Source organism: Homo sapiens, chromosome 5, assembly GCF_000001405.40.
Source record: "Homo sapiens chromosome 5, GRCh38.p14 Primary Assembly".
NCBI lineage: Eukaryota > Metazoa > Chordata > Mammalia > Primates > Hominidae > Homo > Homo sapiens.
This window is the reverse complement of record NC_000005.10, coordinates 1,454,048-1,481,101: the sequence shown is the minus strand read 5'-3', so window position 1 is coordinate 1,481,101 and position 27,054 is coordinate 1,454,048. Positions and strand designations below refer to the sequence as shown.

At 53.3% G+C, this 27,054-nt stretch overlaps 1 protein-coding gene across 5 annotated transcripts in view, besides 3 other annotated features; it reads left to right on the top strand.

Moving 5' to 3' along the window:
• The window catches only part of LPCAT1 (lysophosphatidylcholine acyltransferase 1), a 62,534-nt gene extending 42,859 nt beyond the window's left edge, over nucleotides 1-19,675 (top strand). For all 5 annotated transcript variants that reach the window (NM_024830.5, XM_005248373.4, XM_047417763.1 and 2 more), the window contains 8 exons: nucleotides 126-160; nucleotides 1,427-1,481; nucleotides 3,616-3,698; nucleotides 6,417-6,542; nucleotides 6,992-7,145; nucleotides 10,178-10,276; nucleotides 14,212-14,353; nucleotides 17,267-19,675. In NM_024830.5, coding sequence (NP_079106.3) covers nucleotides 126-160; nucleotides 1,427-1,481; nucleotides 3,616-3,698; nucleotides 6,417-6,542; nucleotides 6,992-7,145; nucleotides 10,178-10,276; nucleotides 14,212-14,353; nucleotides 17,267-17,451 — 879 coding nt within the window. In that variant the 3' untranslated portion in view covers nucleotides 17,452-19,675. The remainder of the gene's footprint in view (nucleotides 1-125; nucleotides 161-1,426; nucleotides 1,482-3,615; nucleotides 3,699-6,416; nucleotides 6,543-6,991; nucleotides 7,146-10,177; nucleotides 10,277-14,211; nucleotides 14,354-17,266) is intronic.
• Nucleotides 13,680-14,180: an enhancer, noted in NCBI's record as "H3K4me1 hESC enhancer chr5:1467037-1467537 (GRCh37/hg19 assembly coordinates)". NCBI's record gives its function as "activates a minimal SCP1, AML or CMV promoter by ChIP-STARR-seq in primed H9 embryonic stem cells {active_cell/tissue: H9 hESC(primed)}" and the evidence as "EXISTENCE:reporter gene assay evidence [ECO:0000049][PMID:30033119]".
• Nucleotides 15,464-16,293: an enhancer, noted in NCBI's record as "H3K4me1 hESC enhancer chr5:1464924-1465753 (GRCh37/hg19 assembly coordinates)". NCBI's record gives its function as "activates a minimal SCP1, AML or CMV promoter by ChIP-STARR-seq in naive H9 embryonic stem cells {active_cell/tissue: H9 hESC(naive)}" and the evidence as "EXISTENCE:reporter gene assay evidence [ECO:0000049][PMID:30033119]".
• Nucleotides 24,035-25,234: an enhancer, noted in NCBI's record as "BRD4-independent group 4 enhancer chr5:1455983-1457182 (GRCh37/hg19 assembly coordinates)". NCBI's record gives its function as "activates an origin of replication core promoter dependent on BRD2, P300/CBP, MED14 and CDK7 cofactors, and independent of BRD4, by STARR-seq in HCT116 cells {active_cell/tissue: HCT116}" and the evidence as "EXISTENCE:reporter gene assay evidence [ECO:0000049][PMID:35650434]".

The window sequence follows — 27,054 nt, the reverse complement described above, 5'->3', positions numbered from 1 at the left end:
CCTTCCCCCTGGCTGCAGCGCCTCTGTGGGGTGGGAGGTGCAGGGAGAGGCCGGCACACGCAGGTGCTTGGTGCAGGCCCTGGGTGCAGGCCCCATGCTGACTGACCCTGCCTCTTCCTCCCCAGGACACCATCACATGGACGTGGCAAGGACCTGGAGCGTAAGTTGAACGCCGTGTCGTCCTCTTTGTCCTGTTGTTCCATGAACACGTAGGGGCTGCTTGGGGTCTGCTGTGCACGCTAGTTACTTTTGCAGTTGTGAAAGCAGGTGTGGGACAGCCGTTAGGTTCAGCCCATTGTGAAAACTAAACGTACAGATGTGGCCCAGGCCTGACACTCCTGGATTCTGGGGTCTTAAGTTGCACGTCTTCAGTACCAGCAGGAAGGGAACTGTGAGTCTTGCATTCGGCTCTCGAGTTTGCCAGCTCAGTAATTACGATCGTCCACCTGGTGGCCCCTGGTAAGGAAAGTGGAGATTTAGGGGTGTCTGGGGGGACCCCGTCTGCACAGGCACAGAGACTGAGTAGTGCTGGGTGGGAGGCCAGCCCCTGCTGTGAGTCAGTGTCCCTGTCCCCCCAGCAGAGACACCGAAGGTCAGTTATGCAACAATGAACAACCCCACGGAAACGGGAACGAGCCCCAGAGGAGAAGCCCGGGGCCACAGGCTGGTCAGGGCCTCCTGGGTGCTGACGTCTGAGCTGACGTCGGGAGGGCAGAGGGAGCGGGAAAGTCCAAGAGAGAGCAGCTCCATTCCAGGCGTTTGGGAGGATGTGGGTCCGCTGGTGCTTTCAGGTGAAGGTGTTGAGGTCAGCGCTTCCCAGGCTGGCGTGTGGAGGCTCCCAGCTGGGAGCAGAGCTGGGAGGGGGCTCTGGGGGGTATAGGGGTTCTGGGGTCCCGGGGGCCTAGGGCTGGGGCTGGCATGACAGGGCAGAAAGAGGGTTGGGGCACTGGGCTGTCGGAGGCGTGAGTGTGGCCCTGGGAGCAGCTCCAAATGTCTCCCATGTCAACTCCTGCGGCAAAGGCATGGTGATCCTGGTTCTGAGGTTGGGAACTCTGGATCCAGGCTGGAGGGGTGGCATGACTCAGGGCCTGTGCTGCCTGGGGACAGCGAGGAGGGACAGGTGTGGAGGGACAGGTGTGGGCTGTACGAGGTCTCCTGAGCTGGAGAACAAGCAGGAGATGGTGTCTTGCTAGACGAACCAAGGACATAAGCAGGTGTTGAATCGGAAAAGCAGCATTTCCACCCACGGCTGTACGTCACACTGGGGCTCGGGCTGGGTGGGCACGGCACCCCCTCCGTGGGAGCGTTGACTGCCCAGTAGCGCCCTCTGGAGGGCGCGTCTGGAGGTTTCACCCCAGAATTGGGAGTAATTTACTTGTTAACCCGAGTTGTAAATCTGCTCAACATTGTGCAATCTGTTTTTAAGGCTGGAAATCCTGTGGCTCACGCTGTGTCAGTTTCACAACCAAGTGGAAATCGAGGTTCGTATGGATACAGAGTTACACAGCGCTCTTCACAGTGGTTGATGCAGACACGAGCTTACACCAGGATGCCCAGATAAGCCTTGTACAATGTGGCATATCACCTGTCTTGCTTTCCCATCTTTCCGTTTCTCAGGGCTCCTTCGAGGAGCCTCTGGTTGCTTTACCTCAATGACTTTATGTCTCTCTTATGAGTCTGAACCACTTGGATAAGATTTGGGTTTTTGTTTTTTGTTTTTCTGAGACAGCATTTTGTCTTGCTCTGTTGCCCAGGCTGGAGTGTAGCGATGGGCTCACTGCAGCCTCGACCTCCTGGGCCCAAGTGATCTCCCTGCCTCAGCCTCCCACGTAATTGGACCACAGGCACACGCCATGCCTAGCTAATTTTTGTAGAGATGGGTCTCACTTTGTTGCCTAGGCTGGTCTCAAACTCCTGGGCTCAAGCAGTCCTCCCGCCTTGGCCTCCTAAAGTGCGGGGATCACAGGCGTGAACTACCACACCCAGCTGGAAAGGATTTTTTAAACCTACCATTCATTATTATGGGTATTGTAGCTTAAGGACATATGAAGCTGGCCCACATGCAAATAATTATTTGTTTGGCTCTTAGTTTTACTTTACATATTTAATACCGCTGAGTTTGTCATAGCACCATGCTCTGTTTAATACATAGTCAAAGATCCCCCTTCTCAGCCTGACCCAGGTCTCCAGAGTCAAGACCTTGGGCTAAATAGTCACCTCTGTGTAGCCTGCACAATTTTTTCTAAGTCGATGAGGAGTAGTTCTTTTTTTGTTTAAAAGGGGAATTAATATGCACTTCTTGCATCTGGAAATAAAAGATGAGTCACATGCAACTTAAATATTTAATAAAACAATTTGCTGCCTTCCAGTAAATATTGGAGAGCACTACGAAATATACTGATAAGCCCGGCTTTCAGCCCGGCTGTTCACTTCCATAGAGGATAAGCTGCTCTCATTACAGAGGACTGGGCTGAAGGGCCTTGGCCCGGGCCTGAGGGCGGCAGTTCCCCCACCCAGCAGGATTATGTGGCTGGATGGGCAGTGGCCGGGAGGGTGCAGGCCAGGCCTCGAGCACAGAACACAGGGACTGAGCTTGAGCTCCTGAGGGCTCCCTGGTGTTGAATGGCTGTGTTACAGGCCTGGTTTCTAATTTTAAGAGTTGAAAAGAAAGTGAATGGCTGTGCAAAACTGCTCTGTCCTTACTGACGTTGTTCATACAAGATGCAAATGTTGATGCAAGGAACCATGGCAGTTTACGGAAGTTTTAGAAATAACAGCGAGAATTGGGGTTTCAGGATGTTCCTGTATTCTGAAATATTCCGTATTAGAGAAAAGGACATCCAGGGTAGTCTTGTGCCCTTTCCTGCACGGTGTGCAATGTGGGTCATATTCATTTAAAATGCTGTGTAAGTGTCACTCAGGCAAGGACAAATTCACTGGACAATTTCTTTTAGTTTCAAAATGCAAGAGGTGGCAAAACGCTGCCAATAATCTGTTCCAAATGTAGGAATAACGTGCTGCATTATCCCCATTACAAAACTGATGCTGTCAGAAATGGGCGTAAGCCCCTCTGTGAGATCAGGGAGCTGGATGTTCTGATGTAGGCAGCAGGAGCTCCTAGGAGCACTGACGGGGGTGAGTGTAGATCAGAGAGCCAGATGTTCTGATGTAGGCAGCAGGCGCTCCCAGGAGCACTGACGGGGGTGAGTGTAGATCAGAGAGCCAGATGTTCTGATGTAGGCAGCAGGCGCTCCCAGGAGCACTGACGGGGGTGAGTGTAGATCAGAGAGCCAGATGTTCTGATGTAGGCAGCAGGCGCTCCCAGGAGCACTGACGGGGGTGAGTGTAGATCAGAGAGCCAGATGTTCTGATGTAGGCAGCAGGTGCTCCCAGGGAGCACCAATGAGGGTGAGTGTTCAGGTGCACACGTGTGCAGTTCATGCATCATGGGGGTGTGTGTGTGCGTACACACACGTGCACATGACAACTTTGAAGACGGTTCTAATGGGCGTTACTTTGACAGATCTTAATTTTGTCAGCCTCCCAGTTGTCGTTACAGTGGTGTTGCTGAGGTCAGCGTCTTGTGATACTAACGCAGCTTCTCTGTGTGCTCAGTTCCTTCCTGTGTACAGCCCTTCTGAGGAGGAGAAGAGGAACCCCGCGCTGTATGCCAGCAACGTGCGGCGAGTCATGGCCGAGTAAGTGAGCAGCTCCTTCCCCCATCGCCGAGTCAGGGGTGTCTCCCAGAGTGCTGCTCTCTGTATATTTAAAATAGGCAACAGCGTTAGGAAAAGGCATTCTTGCAGAAGTGCGGGAACCAGCTTCATGCATGTTGGTGAAGCGTGCTTGGCCTTGTGCTGTGCGCCCCTTGTTTCCCTCTGATGGCATTTCACCCTCTTTGACGTTGGGAAGATGCATGACTGGTTCTTCCAGACCTGCCTGCAGCCGTTGGTCACCCCAGGTCCTATGTTTCCTGTGCCCTAAATGAGCCAGCGGGGCGCTGGCCTGGGCCAACTTCACATCTGTGCGGCGGCCTCCACGCCTACCTTTGCTCATCTGCCTGTGTGATACTTACCGGTGCCCTTACTCTATCTGGCAGAGTGGAGTGGTGGTTGCACATTTAATCTTGTAAGGTGACTTGTGCTGCTTACACAGTTGTCGTGCATGCAGTTAGGAAGAGGGAATGTCCTCGCTTCCCATGGTCCCAGGTCCCCTGCTTGCATGGCCGGCAGTGCTGTCGGCTCACACGCCCTCCCCCTCTCCCTCCCTCGGTGTCGTCAGCTCACACGCCCTCCCCATCTCCCTCCCTCAGCACCTTCCATCCCTCAGGTCCCATTCCCCCCACACTTGTCCTTGCAACCAGGTCCTCCCACCTGGATTTACCCCCACGTGAATGCCTCCCTAGTGCTTCCTCCTGCAAAGCTCTGTCCAGTGGAGCTAGAGCCTCCCCTCCACCGGGCGGCTGCCAGACCTGAGCTGCAGGAGCCACTTGGAAGCCACATCAGCCTCGGTCCACCGGCCCCACCCCCAGGCTCCTGCTGCAGCAGGTCGGGGCATGGCTGGGAACTCGCCTCTCCAGAGAGCCCAGAGGGGAACACAGCCACGGCCGGGCCCATCAGAGTGTGCCTGGCTCTGACCTCCGAGCCACTTTGTTCACACTCCGCTGACACCCTGAAGATTCAGCTGGGCGGCCCGTTCCCTCACGTTCCCATCCTCTCCCTCCCAAAGCATGTGTCCGAGGGTAGAAATGGGCCCGGCAGTCTCTGTCCCGCAAAGCTCCACTCAACCCCCACCACAGGCAGCTCTGAACAATACAAAAAGCTGAGTAGGCGCCGAGCCAGGGGAATGCATTCCCACCTCCAAGCCCAGCACCTGTGCTCCGGACTGCTGCCAATACTGGCTACTTTTGGGGACTTAGGAGGAAGAGAACAGATTTTACAGCGCTCAAGGAGAGATCGCCTGTGGGCCTCACTGATTATTTTAGAACCCTCCATTTCAAACAGACTCCGAGGAACTTGTACTTTTTTTAGGGTACGAGAGTGCTGCCATTTCCATTGTAGTAATTCAGAATTCTCTTAAAACCCCACTCCAAATTACCGGGAACCATGTTTCATCACATCAGGGCCGTTGGAGGGTCTGCCACCGTCAGCAAAACCCCCCACCAAGGAACATGGGAGGGAGAAGCAGCCTCGGACTCCTGGGCCTGGGCGGGGCCTGTGCAGCCCCACTCGGAGTGGAGATGGGAGGGAGAAGCAGCCTCGGACTCCTGGGCCTGGGCGGGGCCGTGCAGCCCCACTCGGAGTGGAGATGGGAGGGAGAAGCAGCCTCGGACTCCTGGGCCTGGGCGGGGCCGTGCAGCCCCACTCGGGGAGTGGAGTTGATCATGAGCAGAGGGACCCTGGCAGCGCCTCCTCCCGGCTGGTTTCCCACTCCCGTAGTGGGTCCTAGGAGGCAGTGTTGGAAGCACGTTCTCCTCCCCTGCCCGCTGCAAGGATGGTGGCACCCCAGGGTGGCAGAGCGCACACATCCTTCCTCGACCTTGGTTTTCATCTGGGATGGGGCTCGCCTCTGAGTCATTTGGGGTTCTGAGTTGAATGGCACGTGTGCAGTGCTGGCCTGGAGAGAGGTGCCACCCAGGACGGGCCATCAGGAGAGGCCGGGGATGGCCCCAGGTGTGGCTGGCGGAGGTGGGTGGTTCTCCCAGCCAGGGCTCCTGGTCCCTGGCTCACCTGGAGTCACACGTGGCGGGGCCAGGACTGCTGTGAGCTTCACAGGCAGCCGCTCAGTTGGGCCTTGTCCTTTCCTGTGGATAGCCTGAGACTCTCCTGTTCCAAATGATGATGCCTAAGTTTGCCAAGGGGAACTTCAGCGGCTCTCAACTAGGACTAGAGAGGCACCGATTTCTCATCACCTGAGCACACACGGCACGGTCAGAGCAGCTCTGGGAGTGAGGGCACAGCCCGCCTCACTCTGCTTCATCCTGTGCTTCACAGACAGTTGCTTCACGTTTGTGGCAACCCTGTGTTGAGCAAGCCTATTAGCACCGTTTTCCAGCACTGTGAGCTCACTTTGGCGTCTCTGGGTCACATGTTGGTAATTCTCGCACCATGAGCTCACTTCGTGTCTCCACGTCACATGTTGGTAATTCTCACGCTGTTTCAAACTTTTTCACGATTCTCACGTGATGGCAGTCTGTGTCAGTGACCTTTGGTGTGGCTGCCGTCATCGTTTCAGAGCACCCACGAGAGGTGAAGCTGATCGATGAATGTGTGACTGCCCCACCAACTGGCCCTTCCCCTGTCTCACTGCCTCTCCTCAGCCCTCCTCTCCCCTGAGCCATCGGCGGTTATTCTGGTGGGGCGGTGGGAACTGGCTGCCACGAGGCTGGGCTGACGGGGGTGCTGCCCTCCTTGTAGGGCCTTGGGTGTCTCCGTGACTGACTACACGTTCGAGGACTGCCAGCTGGCCCTGGCGGAAGGACAGCTCCGTCTCCCCGCTGACACTTGCCTTTTAGAATTTGCCAGGCTCGTGCGGGGCCTCGGGTGAGTACCTGGTTCTTCTTCCTTGAGCATTAGCTAGAACCCGTGATGCCGAGGTCTGGCGGGGGCTGCCTGGGGTTGCAGGGAGGGGAACTGAGGAGATAATTATTAATTATTCTGGCTTTTTTCAAATATCAACTTAAGCCCACATAGTGTCTTTCAATCCCTTAATGCTGGCATCAGCTGTCTGTGGACGGCGCCCCAGGAGGGCCACCCTGTGTCCTGCCACATCTGCCCTGGGAAGGGAACGGGTCTCAGGGGCACAGGCACCTGGCTTGACACTTGGACAGAACACATCTCGCACCTTCCAATTAGGAGAATGCCTTTTCTTGAAAACTAGCTTGCTGCTACTTCTGTCAATTTTAATATTTTGATGAGTCTTAGAAGTAAATCTGGTGTTAGCATGCCACCATTTTATTGAAAAAGAAAGCTTTCCCTCTTTTTTTGTCTAGGCTAAAACCAGAAAAGCTTGAAAAAGATCTGGACAGATACTCAGAAAGAGCCAGGATGAAGGGAGGAGAGAAGATAGGTATTGCGGAGTTTGCCGCCTCCCTGGAAGTCCCCGTTTCTGACTTGCTGGAAGACATGTTTTCACTGTTCGACGAGGTAGGGCCTGTCGCCTGCGGAGCGGGGTGTCGGCAAAACCTCCTGCTTTTTGAAGCATAAATTGTTCTCATTCTAATATAAATATATTTTCACATGAATTTGAAAGCAGAGAAGGAAAACCACCCATCACCACCCCACCCTATCATTTTGAGGTATTTCCTTCCATGCTTTTAAATACGCGTACACATTTGACGTTTAAATTACCCTTCACTGATGAATGTGCCTGTGGTTTGGGGTTTTTCAGTGTGATTACGGAGTCTAACAATATCAAACTGTGACACCCAGCCTGGGGTCTCCAAGGGACCCCCTGCAGGGTCCCCTGCTCACCAGAGCTGCTCTTTGCAGCGTCAGAGTTTCTAATAACACGCCCGTCCTCTATGATCGGCTTAGAGGCTCCCCGCCAGCCTGTGGGTGTGGGAGGGCTTCCTCCTGGTGCAGCCGCCCACTCCCCTCTGCCCTCCGCACGTCATCCCCAGGTCCTCGTCGTAATTGATGAGGCATCCACGGTCACACCAGGTGGCCCTGAACATGGCGGGCAGCCTCGGGGTTTTAGGAAGGTGCGAGGTGGCACGCAGGGGCGGGACAGGCTGCCACGGCGAGCCACAGGTCAGCCAATCCTGGTCTTTTCTGGGTGTTAGTGTCACAGCATGGACACTTACACTGTGGTCCTGGAGGAGCTGGTGATACGCCAGGGTGTGTGTAGAAGGCTCCTTCAGCCATGACTGTCCCGTGACAGCATGAGATGTCCCGTGTGACAGCACCATATATGTTTTGCACCAACACGGAGCAGCTGCAGTGCAGTCCTGGGTGGAACCCGGGCTGGCAGGAGGCCTCTCTGGCCAGAGAGCAGGTGAGGAGCACTCAGGACAGGGGGAGGACTCTGGCCAGAGAGCAGGAGGAGCAGGAGAGAGGAGAGAGGAGCACCCAGAGGCAAAGGAAGGACTCCCTGGTTGGAGAGAGCAAGAGAAGATGAGGAGCACCCAGGACAGGGGAAGGAGGCTGCCCCGCAAGTATGCAGAGTGTGAACCAAGGATCACAGTGCGTGGCTCAGGGCATTCTCCCACACGCACCAGAGGGGCCCCCAGCCACGGGCCCTCTGCTACAGGGCAGCTGGAAACAGTGTCTCGGATGCGAGTCCTGCCTAGTGTCCGTAAGGGGCCCCCAGCCGCGGGCCCTCTACTACGAGGCAGCTGCAAACAGCGTCTCGGATGCGAGTCCCTCCTGGTGTCCGTGCCACATCTGCAGCTGCGTTTGCACTCAGGCGCTTTACCACAGTGTTGGAATTGAAACGTGAAATGGTGAATACTGGTTTCACAGGCAGCATTCCTGGTTTCACAGGCAGCGTTCCGAGGTAACTTATGACACTGTGCAGTTAATTTTTTATTTTCTGCAATTTCAGATGCACATGATCTTATGAGATAGGAGTATTCTCCATTTACACCCAGGACCTCAGACCCCCAGCCCGAGACCTTCCCAGAGCCAGGGACTTGTAGTCATTTCCACCTGCCAGACACCCAAGCCCCAGTCCCAGTACCCCATGCCTTGCAAGGGGTGTGGCGTAGCACAAAGAAAGCTATCAGTTCCCTCAGAAGACCTTCAGGGACCTGTGTGCGTCTCACCCCTAGCACCTACAGCCTGTGGTTGACACAAGCGTAGAGGGGCAACTACTGGTCAAAGTCCTCCCTCTGCCCCTGGGTGCTCCTCACCCCCAGCTCTCTGAACAGGGAGTCCTCCCTCCGCCCCTGGGTGCTCCTCACCTCGCCTCCTCCTGCTCTGACCAGAGTTCTCCCTCTGCCCTTGGGTGCTCCTCACCTGCTCTCTGGCCAGAGTCCTCCCCCATCCTGGGTGCTCATTATCTCCTGCTCTCTGATCAGGGAGTCCTTCTGCCCCGGGTGCTCCTCACCTCACTTCCTCCTGCTCTCTGACCAGAGCGTCCTCCCTCTGCTCCTGAGTGCTCCTCACCTCCTGCTGCCTGGCCAGAGTCCTCCCCCTGTCCTGGGTGCTCCTCACCTCCTGCTCTCTGGCCAAAATTCTTCCCCTCTCCTGGGTGCTCCTCATCTTCTCTTGCTCTCTCCAGCCAGGGAGTCCTTCCTTTGCCTCTGGGTGCTCCTCACCTCCTGCTCTCTGGCCAGAGTCCTCCCCCTGTCCTGAGTGCTTCTCACTTGCTGTCTGGCCAGAGTCCTCCCCCCTATCCTGTGTGCTCCCCACCTTCTCTTGTTCTCTCCAACCTGGGAGCCCTCCCTCTACCCCTGGATGCTCCTGCTGCTCTCTTCCTGGAACCTCCTCCTGCTCTCTGACCAGGGAGTCCTCCCTCCACTCCTGGTTGCCCTTCATCTCCTGCTGTCTGACCAGAGAGTCTTCCCCCTGTCCAGGGTGCTCCTCACCTCCTCCCGCCCTGACCTGGGAGGTTCTTTCCTGTGGCCTGGGCACACCCTGCAGCCACGTGCAGACTGTCCCCATCGTCATCAGAAGTGCAGACCCTGTCAGCCCCCACCTGTGCCTCTCACCACCCTGCTCACTCACATCAGCATGTCCCTGGAGACTCTGGGTGTGAGGAGTTACTGAGAATGGTCAGCGCGGGGCTGACTGGCTTCCACAGCTGGCCCGGGCTGCTGTTTAGCTCCACGTCACAGCTCCGGGTTCACCTTCTTTCTGCAGGATGAATGGGTTGCCATAAACAGACCAAATTCCTAGAGCCCAGAATCAGCCTTGGTGCTTAGGGGGTATTCTCAAATGCAGGTCTTGGCAGGTGGCAGGCATTGCATCGCGTGTGCTTTGCTGAGGTGCTTCCTGTGGCAGCCTTGTGAACTTTGGGAAGTCACTGTAATGGCCCCAAGAAGTGTACACAGCACAGTGACCTTGGAGAACCCACTTGGTGGAATGTCCTTCCAAGATTCCCTTTTCACATGGGCAGATGTTCCCGAGTGAGAGTGGGACTGGCCTTTAATTAACACCAGCACCCATGGGAAACCCTGGCGTTTCTCCAGTGCCGAAGGCGGCCGAGCTGTGGCTGAGAGCGTCTCTCCCCACAGAGCGGCAGCGGCGAGGTGGACCTGCGAGAGTGTGTGGTTGCCCTGTCTGTCGTCTGCCGGCCGGCCCGGACCCTGGACACCATCCAGCTGGCTTTCAAGGTGAGTGCAGAGTTCACATGGGTTTGACTGGGGGACAGGGCGGTGCAGTCACGTCAGCACCATTGTTCATTTCTCTAGTTCCTTATAATATCAGTTAATTGATCATTTGCCCAACTGCTATTTTTACGTAAGCTTTTTATGCTAGCTGTTGTTTGTAAAATGCCCAGAAAACTCCCAGATTTATTTCTTCCTGGATTAGCAATCCACACTCATCAGAAAGCATGGCTGAGGTTCTTCCTGGGTCCTGGGGCACCTGGGTGGGGCTGGTGGTGTCACACACCATCACACACTACAGGGCACCTAACACAGGGGCCACACACCTTGTCCTCTCTCCCCCTCAGACTGGACTGGTGAAGAAAGCACGGCTTAGGAGCTGCCCACCTCAGCTAACCCCAGGGGCTACAACATGTCAGAGCCCAGTCATCACCACTGGGGGAGTCTGGGGTCCCAGCCCAGCTGCAGACTCCTGGGAAGCCCTCAGGACTTGCCTCACCACAGGGAGTCGCTGCTCCCTGGGGGCTGAGTGGGGTCTGGGTCAGGCCTGGAGGGCGGGAGGCCAGGTAACCCTGAGGGTTTGGCCTGGCCTATTCTGAGGCTCCAGCAGCACCAATGTGGATTTCATCTGGGATAGAGCTGGGCCGGCTTTGCCTGTACAGAGGCACAACTTTACCAAGGCTTCTCACAGGGTGTGACTCACATTAGCCAGACTCTCAAGGGCCTGATGTGTGAGTCAAGAAGCTGCATGTCTCTCACCGCTCCAAGAACTCCCTTCTCTTGCTTCTGATGCCAGCACACCCTCTCCATAGCAACACTGGGGAATGTCCCCACATGAAAAGGTGGCTTGTGGGGGTCTCCCCAGGCAGGATGAACTCGATGACCTCAACATTTGGCAGCTCTGTGTAAGAAAGCCTGACCTCCCTGCCTCCTCCAGGCCTGGGCAGCCTGCCTCCTAGGGCCCCTGATCTGAGCCAGGCCCTGTGGCCCTGCGGCCCCTGCTGGCCCTGCTTTCACTGTGCCCTGTTGTTTTTTTTTTTTTAATTTTTGTGAGATGGAGTCTCGCTCTGTTGTCCAGGCTGGAGTGCAGTGGTGCAATCTTGGCTCACTGCAACCAACCTCTGCCTCCCAGGTTCAAGTGATTCTCGTGCCTCAGCCTCCCAAGTAGCTGGGATTACAGGCTCGTGCCATGAAACCCAGCTAATTTTTGTAATTTTAGAAGAAACAGGGTTTCACCATGTTGGCCAGGCTGGTCTCAAACTCCTGGCCTCAAGTGATCCGCCCACCTCAGCATCCCAAAGTGCTGGGATTACAGGCATGAGCCACCGCCCCCCGTTCTGCTGGCCCCACCAGCCCCTGCTGTAGAGCCACCAAGTATAACCTGGAACGAATGACAGCAGCGGTGGGGGTGGCAGTTGCCTTGTTTCTCAACATGAACAATGGGCTGTGGAGCCCGACCTTCCTCCTGCACAGGCCCCACCTGCAGGTGGGCAGGGTAACTGGCTGTGGTAGGGTTGAGGACGCCCACTGGGGAGGACAGTGTGCACCGGGTCCCTGCTTGGGGTGGGGTATGTGCCACTAGGAGGTCTTTCTCAGGTGAACCAGGCGATGGGTGAGGCCTAGGCTGCCCTACAGTGACCACCTGGGGGCAGGATGGGTGATCACTTCTCACAGGCTTCCAGGCCGCTGATATGGCTGCGTCCCCACGGCGACACCAGGGTCCCGCCTCACCTCCACCCTCAGCAGCTCCGCCCTGACGGCATATGCCCTGCCTTCCTCCCACCTTCTTGCAGGCTGCTTCCCCATGTCCCTTTCTGCAGCCTATACCTTTCATGGTGTCATCATTTCCTGAAGTCATGGCCATTGTGCTTTGCTGCTGCTCTGGGAGCCTGGCACATTTTGGGGGGACTGCATGTAGCAGGAAGGGCTTCCACGGAGCAGTCTCGTGTGAGAGAGCGTGGCAAGTGCACCAGCGTGCTGCTCTTGGGACACAGAGATCCAGGAAGCTGCCCCCCAGGCTGACTGTGGACACAGAACTCCTAGCACCTAGGACCCCAGAGGCACACGCCGGTGCTCAGGACTCCGGATGCGCAGCGCACCGATGTGCTTCATACGCCTTGGGGCCCCTTGTTTTTGTTCTTTTTCGTTATCATTACTGTGTAAAACCTTAAGATGTGGCCCTGGTAAAACTTCCAGCGGCTCAGAGAGTGGACAGTGAGAACCTGAAGTCTGTTGCCTGTGGTAGCCTCAGTCCTACCTCTGCGTTTCCCGTGCAGCATCTACACGAGGCTCCGAGGATGAAAGTCTGCATCTGCAGTTCTCATGTCCAAATGGACACAGATGTCAGGTTGTCCCCTCTGAAGCAGCCTTGCAACCACTAGGGGGCAGGAGGCACTGCTCTCTGGGGGCTGAGTGGGATCCAGGTCGGCCGAGGAGCTGGAGGCCGTGGCCCTGAAGCTTTGACCCGGCCCGTTCTGAGGCTCCAGCAGCACCAACGTGGATTTCGTCTGCAGATGTTTGATTCAGCAAATCTAAAAGCAGGAGAGAAACGTAGACCACAGAAGACAGGGTGGCCGCGTGCGGCAGCGCTGTGGGATGAGGCCCAGGGGAGGGAGAGTGGAGGGTGAGGATGGGGTCTCCAGAGCCTGGAGCAGACCCGGTCCATGGGGTAGAGGCAGAGCCCCGGGAAGAGGGTGTGAACGCGGGGACAGCTTGCCAGGCCGGAAGGCTGGAGGCGTCAGCGTTTCTTCCCTGAGCACCGCAAGGAGGAGCCGGTGGAGGTGAAGGCGCAGCCCCTCCCTGAAGAGAGGCGACGCCCCTCCCAGGCAGCCCACTTCTCGGAGGGTGGAGCAAACGCTCACAAGATCACAGCGCGCTGCAGCAGGAGAAGGGGACTCGGAGTCAGGGCGACGGCCCCGTCGGAGCCCCAGGAACCGTGGACCCCAGGCAGAGAGAGGGCGGCGGGGGATGGTGCAGCCCCAGGCAGAGGACTCGGGGAAGAACCAGGTAGAAGAGCTGGCCCATCTGAGGGAGCCCAGGGGTTGGAGCGGAAGGACACGGGCGGCGTCGGGACCTCAGAGGAAAGCGCTGCCACAGAGCCCGTGGGCCAGGCTCGAGCCTAAAGGGCTGGGGCAGGACCCTGCACCCCACAGGGAGCCGAAGTGTTTCCAAGGAGGTAGAGGGACAAAGGGATGGGCGGGCCCTGATCAAGGGGTCTGGGGGATCTCCAGGGCACAGAGTCTGTGGAGCCAGGGAGGGGAGCGCCGTGGAGTTGTGGGGAGCGGGCGGCAGGCGCCTCGGCACTGGGCCCTGCACAGAGAGGGCCGGAGCCGCCGCTTCCACACCTGGAGCAGGAGGAAGAGAGGAGGCGTCACCTGTGAGGCTCAGGAGAGAGCCCGGGTCCTGGTTCCCGCTCCCCGCTGGAGCCCTCCCGGCCCTCCCAGGTCCTTCTCATTTCTGCTCCTGATCTGCCCTGTCGATTTCTAACCATCAGGGCTTTTTCATGTTATTACTGATGCTTGTGAACACGTCTGCTGTAGCCTGCACTCACGGAGGCAGAGGGCCGTGGGGGAACTCTGCAGCCCAAGCTTGCGCCGCGCTCGCCCGTGGCCCAGGCAGGACCCTTCCGCGGCCTCCCAGTGGCAGCCACAGGTGCTGGTTGGTTTGCTGAGCTATCACGGGTGGGGTGGGCAGCGTCTGAGCCCTTGCCCGAGAAGCATCTGCTGTGTGTCCACGAGGCACCTGGAGGGGGCCAGATCCAAGGCACAGGGCCCTGCTGCATGGCTCCACATGGAAGTTCGAGTCCCCCGTGTCCAGCCGCCGGCCCTGCAGGTGCCCAGCAGCTCTGACAAAGCGGGGCAGGGCCGCTGGGGTGTCCCTGGACAGCGGGGCCTGGTGGGCAGGGGAGGAGGCTGCAAGGTGACACCCAGTTTGCCTTGCAGATGTACGGAGCGCAAGAGGACGGCAGCGTCGGCGAAGGTGACCTGTCCTGCATCCTCAAGACGGCCCTGGGGGTGGCAGAGCTCACCGTGACCGACCTATTCCGAGCCATTGACCAAGAGGAGAAGGGGAAGATCACATTCGGTGAGCCCGCAGGAGTGGGGTCGTCCTCGCGACCCTTGGGCGGGGGCTGGACAGAGTGTGGGGCGAGTCTCCGTGGGAGCCCAGGACAGGAGTGGAGTCCCCGCCATGCCTCCATTCACCAGGCTGCCCTGTGTAACAAAGAAACCCCTGAGAAGGAAGGTTCTGGAGACCTGGCAGCGTTCGTAGGGAGCTTTCCAATCTGATTTGTTTTGGCGATTTATACAACCAAACTCCAAGCCCAGTTCCGAAGCTCTGAGCCTTCCATGGCCTCAGGCTGGGATTCAGGTGCCTGGAGGTGGGGGATACCCGCACCCAGCCCTCGAGGCCACTGGCTGTGGGCTTTGTCACTGCCAGCCGGGGTGTGGCTCACATCCCCCCTCTCCTGGGAGGGGTCTGTCAGGAGAGACGAGGAGGCGGGCGCTGCAGACCCCCGTGCCGCCCAGGGCGACTTCCTCCCGAGAAAAGTCACCTGTCTGTGGACATCTGATGAGGTGACTGGTAACACGGCTGATTCCAGAGCACGAGCTGTCGGTAATGGCGGTTGATATTTTTAAATTGCTGTGCAAAATCCGCAAACCCGAGCCCGGGGCGCCTCCCTCCCCTGCAGTGTGAATGAGCTACGCTGCATCCACCCGAGGCTCCCAGGGCTGCAGGCCCTGGCCTGGCTCATCCCAGTGGATGCCGCAATCCCCACCTGGAAGGGTGGTCTTAGAGCAAACGAGAAGACACGCGAGAGAGCTGCGTGCACAGCGTCTGTGCGGGAGCCGGAGGCGGGAGTGCGGATGTGCGCACTGGTTTCAGTATTGAAAGCATGTATGTGTGCTTAGTTACCGTGTGTGTGCACACGTGTGTGTGCGTGTGCGCCTGTGTGCGTTTGTTTCAGTACTGAAAGTGCACGTGTGTTACCGTGCGTGTGCATACGTGTGTGCACGCATGTGCGTGCTTCTTTTAGTATTGAAAGTGTGCATGTTTACCGTGTGTGCACACGTTTGTGTACACATGTGCATGCTTGTTTCAGTATTGAAAGCGTGCATGTGTGTTGTGTGTGTGCGTGCATGTGCATGCTTGTTTCCATTTTGAAAGCGCACGTGTTTAGTTACCGTGTCTGTGCTCTTGTGCTTGTTTTGTGTGTGTGCGCACGTGTTTAGTACCGTGCGTGTGTGTGCGTGCACTTGTGTGTGTGCATGGGCATGTGTGTTTAGTTGCTGTGTGCGTGTGCTTGTTTTGTGTGTGTGCACACGTGTTTACTGTGTGCGCATGCGCTTGTTTTGTGTGTGCATGCATGTTTAGTTACTGTGTGTACCTGCGCTTGTTTTGTGTGTGTGTGCATGTGTGTAGTTACCATGTGTGCATGCGCATGTGTGTTACCGTGTGTGTTCGTGCACTTGTGCGTGCGCATGTGTGTTTAGTTACTGTGTGCCTGCGCTTGTTTTGTGTGTGCGCGCACATGTGTTTAGTACCGTGCGTGTGTGTGTGTGCATGGGCATGTGTGTTTAGTTGCTGTGTGCGTGTGCTTGTTTTGTGTGTGTGCACGCATGTGTGTTTAGTTACTGTGTGCGCGTGCGCTTGTTTTGTGTGTGTGCATGCATGTTTAGTTACCGCGTGTGCCTGCGCTTGTTTTGTGTGTGTGTGCATGTGTGTGGTTACCATGTGTGCATGCGCATGTGTGTTACCGTGTGTGTGCGTGCACTTGTGCGTGCGCATGTGTGTTTAGTGTGCCTGCGCTTGTTTTGTGTGTGTGCATGTTATTGTGTGCCTGCACTTGTTTTGTATGTGTGCGTGCATGTGTGTAGTTACCATGTGTGTGCATGTGCTTGTTTTGTGTGTGCACGCATGTGTGTTTAGTTAGTGTGTGTGTGCACTTGTTTGTGTGTACACGCATGTGTTTACTGTGTGTGCACACACTTGTGTGTACGTGCATGTGTGATTACCGTGTGTGTGCTTGTTTTGTGTGTGTGCGCGCACGTGTGTTTGGTTACCGTGTGTGTGCTTGTTTTGTGTGTGTGTGTCTGCGTGCATGTGTGTTTACCGTGTGTGCTCTTTGTGTGTGTGCACGCATGTGTTTGTTTACCGTGTGTGTGCGTGCTTTTGTGTGTGTGTGTGTGCACGCATGTGTGGTTACCGTGTGTGTGCTTGTTTTGTGTGTGTGCGCACATGTGTGTTTGGTTACCGTGTGTGTGTGTTTGCATGTGTGCATGCGTGCGCTTGTTTCCATTTTGAAAGTGTGCAATGCTCCTTGGTGTGTTCGGGCTCTTTGATGTTTGTAGTGGGCACCGACCAGCTGCAATTTCCAGTAACAACCATCCCTGGATTTCTCGCCGGGTGGCCCAGGTTCTGAGTGTTTCTGGAGCGGCCTAGCATGACCAGCCCCCTGCACCATCTTTCCAGCCCCACCAGAAGCCTCCATGGCGCCATCAGTAGGAGCCGAGGGCGCTCACATGAGAGCCAGGCACAGCGGCCAGGAAGTGCAGTCCGAGGCTCTGTGAGGACGGCCCCCTGCCTACCGGGTCTCCCAGGGTGGACGAGGGCACCCCCTCAGAGCGCCAGATCACTGTCCAGACACTTGGTCTTGTCCCTGAGCCAGCTTCTCTGGTTACAGTGCCTCAGAAGTGCTAAGTCCCCGGGATATATCTGTCGAATTCAAAACCAGAAGCTTTCTGTAGGGTTTCCCAAAAGCAGGAGTAGCTAGGAGGACACCCAGCCTGCCCCGGTTGTCAGGGTGACTTCGTGCGCTGCAAAGAAAGTAAGCGCAAGTTCTTCTCTCCACCCTGAAAGCATCCGTTTCACAGACGATTCTAACCCTCCCTGGAGGGCGTGAGGTGGACACCCACCAGGGCCGTGGGAAAAGAGCCTCCAAATCCTAGACATTTGCTCGTCCCCATTCCATAACCACAGGTGCCTTTGTCTTTCCAGCTGACTTCCACAGGTTTGCAGAAATGTACCCTGCCTTCGCAGAGGAATACCTGTACCCGGATCAGACACATTTCGAAAGCTGTGCAGAGACCTCACCTGCGCCAATCCCAAACGGCTTCTGTGCCGATTTCAGCCCGGAAAACTCAGACGCTGGGCGGAAGCCTGTTCGCAAGAAGCTGGATTAGGACCCAGGGTTGCGGAGAGACGCGGCCCCTCCCGCGTGGACATCACCGCCATGAGCCTCTTTGCGAGTGACCTCTGGGCTCCGCTCCTCACTCCTGCTGTACAGGCACTGTCTTCAGCCCGAGTTCCAGGGGCCTCGGGGGCTGTTTGTATCTTGTTCCTTTGTGAAGTGTGTTGCAGAACCGACGCTTACTGTGCGAGAATCGGAGGGCGCGCACGCGGATCCCCCGCCTGGCCTGGACCCCGTGGGGTCAGGTTCCCTGCCGGGCGGGGGGCACCGGTGCCGCCCCGTGTTCTCCCACGGGGCCCTGGTTTCGAGTCTCTGTCACAGCCTCTTCCGGCGGCAGCGTGCACCGGGCGGGCCTCCGTGCACACTCAGCACACGCCTGCCACACAGCGTGCGCTTGCGTGTCACTCTGGCACGAAACCTGTCTGCCTCTGTGGATCCACAGCCTGGCAGAGCCGAGCCGTCACCTGATTTTTCAGTGTTTCTACCTGTGTGCTGGAGCTCATGAGTATTTTATAAACTCCATTTAGGTACTTCAGGAAACATGCAGCATTTTTTAAAAAATGAAAATTGTTTTTCTACTTCATTTTTCCTTTTAGAGTCAAAGGATATTTATTTATAGGCCTTTTTTTTTTTAATATAGAATCTGAGGCTGTTTGGGCTTTGACTTAAATTTCCATCAGGCCTCTCTCCAGCAGGTAATCCCTCTCCTTCCGCTGGGTCCCCTGGGGAGGTGTGAACTCAAGGGCCTAGCCCCAAAACACTTTTTCTGCTTTTCTTAATCCTTTTCCAGTCCCCTCTTTTTTTATAAACGTTGGCAGTTTGATGTTTCTGTTTCGGCATAACGTAATCCATTTCACTGTAGCCTAAACTCCAGTCCGAGGTTGGATATTGTTCAAATGAGCAGGGCCCGAGCTGGAAGCGCAAGGCAGCCGCCGCCGTGCCGCTCCTCCCTTGCCCTCAGGCCAGGTCCCTGCTGGAAGCGGCTGCATCTTCCTGTCAGCCCTGGTTTCCATGGTGACTGGCGTCACGCTGCCACCCGAGTATGGCTGACCTTCCTGCAGAGAGAGGAGCCGCAGTCTTTTGCTTGTGGAAGGAGACGCTGGGCTGTGCGGTGCGGAGGGTGATGAGGATGTCTGGTGACAGCCGTGCGGACACCACTCCTCTCTGCAGCACTGCCTCCCAGCGCCAGGGTCGCGGGCACATCCCACTGAGAGCGGGGGTCCTGCCCCATCTTAGAGTCAAAGGCAGAGGGGCTTCCAGGCCCTGGATGGGGTATTTTGGTGTCACCTGAAGTCCCTCTGACATCACCTTGTTTCATCATTTTTTATGACAGAATTAGAAACCCATCCTTCAAGCACAATAATCATCACAGACTTGAGTTTGCTTCCTAAAGCAAAGGCTCCGGGTTTGTTTGGAAAATTTTTTTGATTTCTGAAATGAATTGATTTTTATATTTGGGGCATCTCTATAGAAAGTGACCACCAAGGCCAGTAAGTACGGGAAAAAATGTTTACTAACTTCCTCAGAGATTCGTGATACGCGTTTCTCCACTGACAGACATTTAAAAACAACCTTCAGCTCCGTTTCAATCAATCACCTCGACTTGTTTTTTAGCATGGACACTGCCAGCAGGACAGACAGGGATGGAGTAAACCGAAGTCAATTTCAGGGCTCTTGGCGTGTTGGACACAGAAGAAATCCTAGTGCAGCCTTTGGTAGCTAACAGTCACTGATTTTATAATTGGAGAATGCGTAAAGATTCATTTTTCAAGGAGAAGAGCCTGCAAATGGCCAATGAAGGAGGTAAATAAACTAAGATATTCCGAGGGAAGGGACCCAGGCCACCTCCCTTCCGCAGGTCTGCAGATGAAGGGTTTTTTGAATGAAATGCCACTGTGCATTTTCAGAAAAAAAAATCTCTGATAAACAGACTTTGAATGGATGTTTGTTCCTCCTGATTCTCTTTTCTCTTCGTGGCGACTTAGAGTTGGCGGATATTCGGAACTGTGAATGTACATAGCGTTGAGTTAAACCCCTTGTGTGTGAGACAGGACGCAGCGGGCCCCTGGTGGCCTGGGGGCCAGACCCGTGGGCAGGTGGGGCATGGGCCCTGGCCTGCGGGGACCTGCTGGGGTGTGAGGGCAGAGGGAGGGTTGCCATGAAGGAACTTGGGATTTTCAATGGAATAAGTAAAACATAAAGTCTATACTTGGGAATGATGTTGTTTTGTGTGGTTCTTTATTAGAAAGACAACAACAGGCATTGTGAGAGGAGAGCCAATCCAGATGAGATTTTCTTGGTGTGGTTCTAGCATGTTTGGAAAACACAAGAATTGAAATTCTGTAGAAAAAGCTGTCTTGGTGGCAAAGGGACGCTCCGGAGTGTTCTGGTATTTTGCGGACAGTAGCAGACATCTTACAGAGTTGAAACATGGATGGCTGGCTGCCTGCCTGGTGGGTTGACTTACGTAATTTCTCAATTTTAAGCACATGCACCTTAAGCGTGTTTTGTCAAGCAGAGAGAAAAATGGATCTGGCATTTAGTCCTACTGAGTCAGTAAAAGGTTTGGAACTAGAGGTAAAAGACCGAGCTCACCTGTTACACTCTCCAAAACTGCACGTGAAGAATCAAGATTGTGTCTCCACCAGCGTCAAGGATGGAAGAAAAACTTAAGGAGAAAAGCCTGCAAATGGCCAATCTGCAGGTGTTTCTCCTTTTTAATACTTTGAAAAACGAAGTTTCAAAGTTCACCATCCACCACCACTCATTTCCCTGTGTACAATTATGGGGGATACTGGGAGGGTGAAAAATGAATCGTTACGTTGTTCAGGAAGGTAAGTCTCAGACATGGGCTACCAGGGAGCTGTGCAGTCTGACCTCACTCAGTGAGAGAGAATGTGCACCAAAATGACATTATTTCAAGCAACAGCAATTTTTACTTCTTCATGCTTGTATGCATCTGCCATTTTTAATACATGAATACTGCCGTTGAAATTGATTGAATATGTCCAAGTTTTCAAGTAAAGCAAGGGTTAAAACAAAAACTAGATCTGCACATCTCACATCAGCACTGGATGGGGCAGCTGCTGCTAAGATGCGGCTGGTGTGAGACCGAGAAGGAGGAGCGTCTGGCTCCAGGTGCCGGCTGTGGGCAGGGTGGCCGTGCCCGGCGGGTGCACCCAGGGAGGTGCACAGCAGGGTAACTCGTGTGGTTTGCAGCACACGTGTTTGTCATCGAACATGCCTCTGCTTCTGTGTGTTCAGTTCTCCACTCAGCATTGGAGCCAGGAGAAATGAAGGTGGGACCCTCAGGAAAAAGCAAACCCACCCCCGGTGTTCACGCAAGAGTTGACACAGCTGCACCTGCTGCTGCCGTATGCTGATCCTAACCAGAAGCTGGCTGGGAGGAGAGGCCCCCTGGGCCATGAAGCAGAGCTCGGGAATGTGAGAAGTGGGGCTGAGGGCAAACGGGGTAGTGAAGGACCAGCACTGCCCACCCATAGCTGCTCTGTGTCCACAAGTAAGTCACACACTCAGACATCTTCCAACACAGTGCTGTACTCACACCACCCAACACAGGTGCTTTTACCTTCCCCAGAAACAGTAGAGACCCATGAGTCTTCCTCGCCACTAATGGTTTCTCTGGTACAGCCACAAACCCATCTGGACATTCTCTGACATGAAAAACTTAAGTTTCAAAGTTCACCATCTACCACCACTAATATTCCCTGTGTAAAATAGTGGGGATGCTGAGAAGTGGGAAAAGGAGTAATCAATTAACAAATGACTTGCATGCTCCCAGGCTCACGTGCACACACACATATGCACAACACGTTCACATCCACACATGCTCACACAATGATACACACATGCTCACATGCACTCATGCTGAGGCTTACACATGTACACACATGCTCACATGCACTCATGCTGAGGCTTACACATGTACACATGCTCACATGCACTCATGCTGAGGCTTACACGTACACACATGCTCACATGCACTCATGCTGAGGCTTACACATGTACACATGCTCACATACACTCATGCTGAGGCTTACACATGTACACACATGCTCACATGCACTCATGCTGAGGCTTACACATGTACACATGCTCACATGCACTCATGCTGAGGCTTACACATGTACACACATGCTAACATGCACTCATGCTGAGGCTTATGCATGTACACACATGCTAACATGCACTCATGCTGAGGCTCACATGCACTCATGCTGAGGCTTACACGTACACACGTGCTCACATGCACTCATGCTGAGGCTTACACATGTACACACATGCTCACATGCACTCATGCTGAGGCTTACACATGTACACACGCTCACATGCACTCATGCTGAGGCTCACATGCACTCATGCTGAGGCTTACACATGTACACATGCTCACATGCACTCATGCTGAGGCTTACATATGTACACACATGCTCACATGCACTCATGCTGAGGCTTACACATGTACACATGCTCACATGCACTCATGCTGAGGCTTACATGTACACACATGCTCACATGCACTCATGCTGAGGCTTACACATGTACACACATGCTCACATGCACTCATGCTGAGGCTTACACATGTACACACGCTCACATGCACTCACGCTGAGGCTCACATGCACTCATGCTGAGGCTTACACATGTACACATGCTCACATGCACTCATGCTGAGGCTTACATATGTACACACATGCTCACATGCACTCATGCTGAGGCTTACACATGTACACATGCTCACATGCACTCATGCTGAGGCTTACATGTACACACATGCTCACATGCACTCATGCTGAGGCTTACACATGTACACACATGCTCATGAGCACATTCACATGCACGTCTTCATAGACACATTCACATGCATGCACATGCTCACACTAATGCACACACACTTATATGCTCCCACACATGCTCACACACACACAGCAAGCAAAGAGGACAGCCTGCATGCCCGGTACTGTCCTCATGCTGTGGCTAGCTGTGAGGCTGTGATCAGCAGCTACACCTTCCTTCTTCCACTACCCATTCCACGTTTTCTTGACCCTAAGCAGTACTTTGGATGGTCAGGGTTCTTTACCCAGTGAGAGGACTCAAATTTTCATTCCAGTGTGTCTGATGCAGTTGTCGTCTTGCCTTTATTAGTCACAATATTAGTCGTGAAAGCCCTGAGAAGTACCTAGAGAATCCACTGAGCTCCAAGATAGCCCTTTCATTGGGGTTAGCCATCCCCACCAAGACAGCATGCTTTTCTTGAACTATTAGCTAAGTGGCATGAGCAGCCCCAAATAGCTGATGACCGTCTGAACTTTCAGTGCAGCAGATGGATCACTGAGGTCCCAGGTAAGAGCATTCCAGCCTTGGGAACTAGGACCTTGAAAGCAAAAGAGCCCAATGTCACAGACGAGAAAAGCAAAAATATGTGAATGGGTTTATCAGCCCACCTGGGATCATTGATGCTGCGGTAACAAATGTAAACCAATAAAATGTCAGGGTCAGCTAAACAGATGTGGTCCTCGCCCGTCTCTCCCAGGCAGGTCAGCTGCAGCTCTGCTCCATGTCACCATCTGCATCCAGCCCAGCACAGCAGCCCCTCCTGGGACTCAGCCAGTCAGATGGCTTTGGGAAGAGGTGACAAGCAAGCCTGCCTAGATGCTATATCTGCTGCACAGACGCAGAATACAGCAGGCCCACTCCTGGTTCATTGGCCACAGTAAGCCATGTGGTCACAGCTGAATTCAACAGCCAGAGACGTACAGTCCTGCAAGGGAGCCCCTCAAAGGAGGTGAAGGATCTTCTGAACAGCAGCACCAGCCACCCTGCAGTAAGTGTTGGATGTGGTGGTGAGCAGGGCCAGTCCTAATTCCACCCATTGACATTACAGACATTATTCTGGCTATGAAATGGTGCCATGTCTTGGTCCACAGTTCGAGGCACTATGTCATCCATCAGGATGGCAGTCCAATGTTCTAGGGCACTGCCTCCCCATGGGCAGCACACCTAAAGCTTCAAGAAGTCATCCTCATGCTTAATCAGACTCGCCACCTCTGGGTGATGGGAAACGTAGGGATTCCAAGTGTGTACCTGTTCCCATGCTGCCTTTGCTGTAAAGTAAATTCCTTAACAATGCCATAGGAGGTGGGCAATAGTGAATAAGCCATTCATCAAGCCCACAGATGGTGCTGTCAGAAACACTGACAGCAAAGACATATCCATATCTGGAATAAGGGAAACTGAAACCAAGAGATACTCCCCTCAATGATGGAAGAGTCCAGTGTGATCAACCTGCCTCCAGGGGGCTGGCTAGTCCCTTTCCCAGGAATGGTACCTGGGGCTAAGTATGGGACCCTGCTTCCGACATGTTGGGAGTCCAGTGATAACTGCATCAGCCTAGGCTATTGTTGATGGGTCAGCTCTTTGTTATTGATCCACACTCATCTCCATCCCTATTTCCAGTGCCAGTTTGTGAATGGTTCTACTAGGTAAACACTGGGTTGGCTGGGAAAGAGACAGGCTGACATCCACTGCCTGTGTCATACCCTGGCAGAGACTATAGTAAATTAGACCCGACAAGAGAAAATATTAGTGAACCTGAAAATACAGCTATGTGTGATCCCAGTGATGTACAGGGAGAAACAGACAGAAATGAAGCACAAGTGGGCATGGAATAATGCCACAAGGCCCATCACATGTGATTGGAGCCCTAGAAAAGGAGGAGGACAGGACAGAAAAATTATTTGATGAAATAATGGCCAGAATTTTTTTCCAAATCTATAAACTAAGATACCCAAGAAGCTCAATAAGCACCCAGCAGAAAAAATACAATAAAAACACAGCAAGACACACATCACAAACTGCTGAAAGCCACTGAAAAGGAGAAAAATCTTAAAAGCAGCTGGAGAAAAACAACATACTATCAAGGAACAGAGATAAGAATGAAAGCCAACTTCTCTTCAGAAACTATGCAACCCAGACGTCAAGGAACAGAGATAAGAACGACAGCCGACTTCTCTGCAGAAACTATGCAACCCAGACGTCAAGGAACAGAGATAAGAACGACAGCCGACTTCTCTGCAGAAACTATGCAACCCAGACGTCAAGGAACAGAGATAAGAACGACAGCCGACTTCTCTGCAGAAACTATGCAACCCAGACGTCAAGGAACAGAGATAAGAACGACAGCCGACTTCTCTGCAGAAACTATGCAACCCAGACGTCAAGGAACAGAGATAAGAACGACAGCCGACTTCTCTGCAGAAACTATGCAACCCAGACGTCAAGGAACAGAGATAAGAACGACAGCCGACTTCTCTGCAGAAACTATGCAATCCAGATGACTGATGACATCTTCAAAGAGACTAAAGACGAATGCGGCCACCCTGGAATTCTATGCTAAAATAAACATCTTTTAAAAATCAAGGCATAATAGAAACATTTTGAAATCAGCAAAAGCTGAGATAATTCACTGCCAGTAGTTCATAATGACCAACAATGTTCAGAGTTCTACAGGCAGAAATAAGAGAATACCATGCAGAAATTTGGCATTTGAAGGTAGATTGTGGTAAGTTAAAAATACACATAGTGGCCAGGCATGGTGGCTCACGCCTGTAATCCCAGCACTTTGGGAGCCTGAAGTGGGTGGATCATCTGAGGTCAGGAGACCTTGTGGCCAACATGGTAAAACCCCATCTCTACTAAAAGTATGAAAATTAGCTGGGCATGATGGTGGGTACCTGTAATCCCAGCTACTTGAGAGGCTGACGTGGGAGAATCTCTTGAACCCTGGAGGTGGAGGTTGCAGTGAGCTGATATGGTGCCATTGCATTCCAGCCTGAGGTGACCGAGCAAAACTTCATCTAAAAAAAAAATACACATAGTAAGACCCCCTCCCATAGAAAACAGAACCAAAGAAGTATAACTAATATAAATGTAAATTTTACCCAAACTAAGAAGGAAGGTGGGAGGGAAAGAACAAAGGACAGAGAATAGAGATAGATAACAAATAGCAAAACGGTAAATTTAAATCCAATCATATTAGTAGTTACATTAAACATAGACTAAAAACTCCTAAATGACATTTGTTGGACTAAATAAAAAATAAAATACCTAACTATATGCTGTTTAAATATAGATTGAAAGTAGAAGAATAGACTGGGCACAGTGGCTCCTGCCTATAATCCCAGCACTTTGGGAGGCCGAGGCAGGTAGATCATTTGAGGTCAGGAGGTCAAGACCAGCCTGTCCAACATGGTGAAACCCCATCTCTAGTAAAAATGCAAAAAAATTAGCTGGGCGTGGTGGCACATGCCTGTAGTCCCAGCTACTTGGGAGGCTAAGGCAGGAGAATCACGTGAACCCTGGAGGCAGAGGTTGCAGTGAGCTGAGATTGCGCCACTGCACTCCAGCCTGGGTGACACAGCAAGACTCTGTCTCATAAAAAAACAAAACAAAAAGGTAAGAAAGTAAAAGAATAGGAAATATATTTATAACATGCAAACAGAAGCTTAAGAAAGTTTATTTGGCAAGATTGTCATACTAAGTGTACTTTAGAGACTAGGAGAATTAGCAGAGTTAAAGACAGACATTTCATGATGATAAAAGTTCAATTCAATTGGAAGACACAATGTTTAAAAGTGCATGTATCTAATCACATAGCTTAAATATATTAAGCATCAATGACAGGATTTAAAGGAGAAATAAATCTGCAAACATAGTTGGAGATTTTAACATAGATCTCTTAGTAACTGATATAACTATCAGGGAAAAATGTAGTTACATAGAAAAACAGCTCTATTCACCAAATGATGTGCCATTTCAAGTGCACATGAAGCAGTTGACAAAATAGACCATGTGCTTGACCACAGATAAATTTCAAGATGTTTAAATCACACAGAGTATGTTCTCTCATCTAAATGAAGCTAAATGTCATGAATTCTGCCCATATTCCCCAGGGCAGAACTGAGCTACTTGGCCGAGAAGCTACAAGAGTAACTGGAAAACATTTGCTGAGGAAGGACAACAGAAACAGCAATACTGATGAGGAGGCCACTGTCTGTCATGTGACACTGTCAAGGGCTGGCTAGGTGCAGATTAACTCCCTTAAATGTAAGAAAAGTGAATGGGGGCCAGACGCAGTGGCTCATGCCTGTAATCCCAACACTTTGGGAGGCTGAGGCATGTAGATCACCTAAGGTTAGGAGTTCCAGACCAGTGTGGCCATCACAGTGAAACCCTGTCTCTACTAAGAATATGAAAATTAGCTGGGTGTGGTGGTGCACGCCTGTAATCCCAGGTACTCTGGAGGCTGAGGCAAGAGAATTGCCTGAACCCAGGAAGCAGAAGTTGCAGAGAGCTGAGATCGCACCACTGCACTCCAGCCTGGGCAACAGAGTGAGACTCCATCTCAAAGAAAAGAAAAGAAAAAGAAAAGTGAATGGGTCCACAATTTTTGCTTCCAGTCAAAATGGAAGAGTAGAGACTGGATTTACCCTCCGTTGGGAAACATGGTCATTAGGCAGGAAACTAAGATGGGCTTTGCCCCAGCAGGGAAGAAGCATCAGCCCTGAGCAAAGCACTG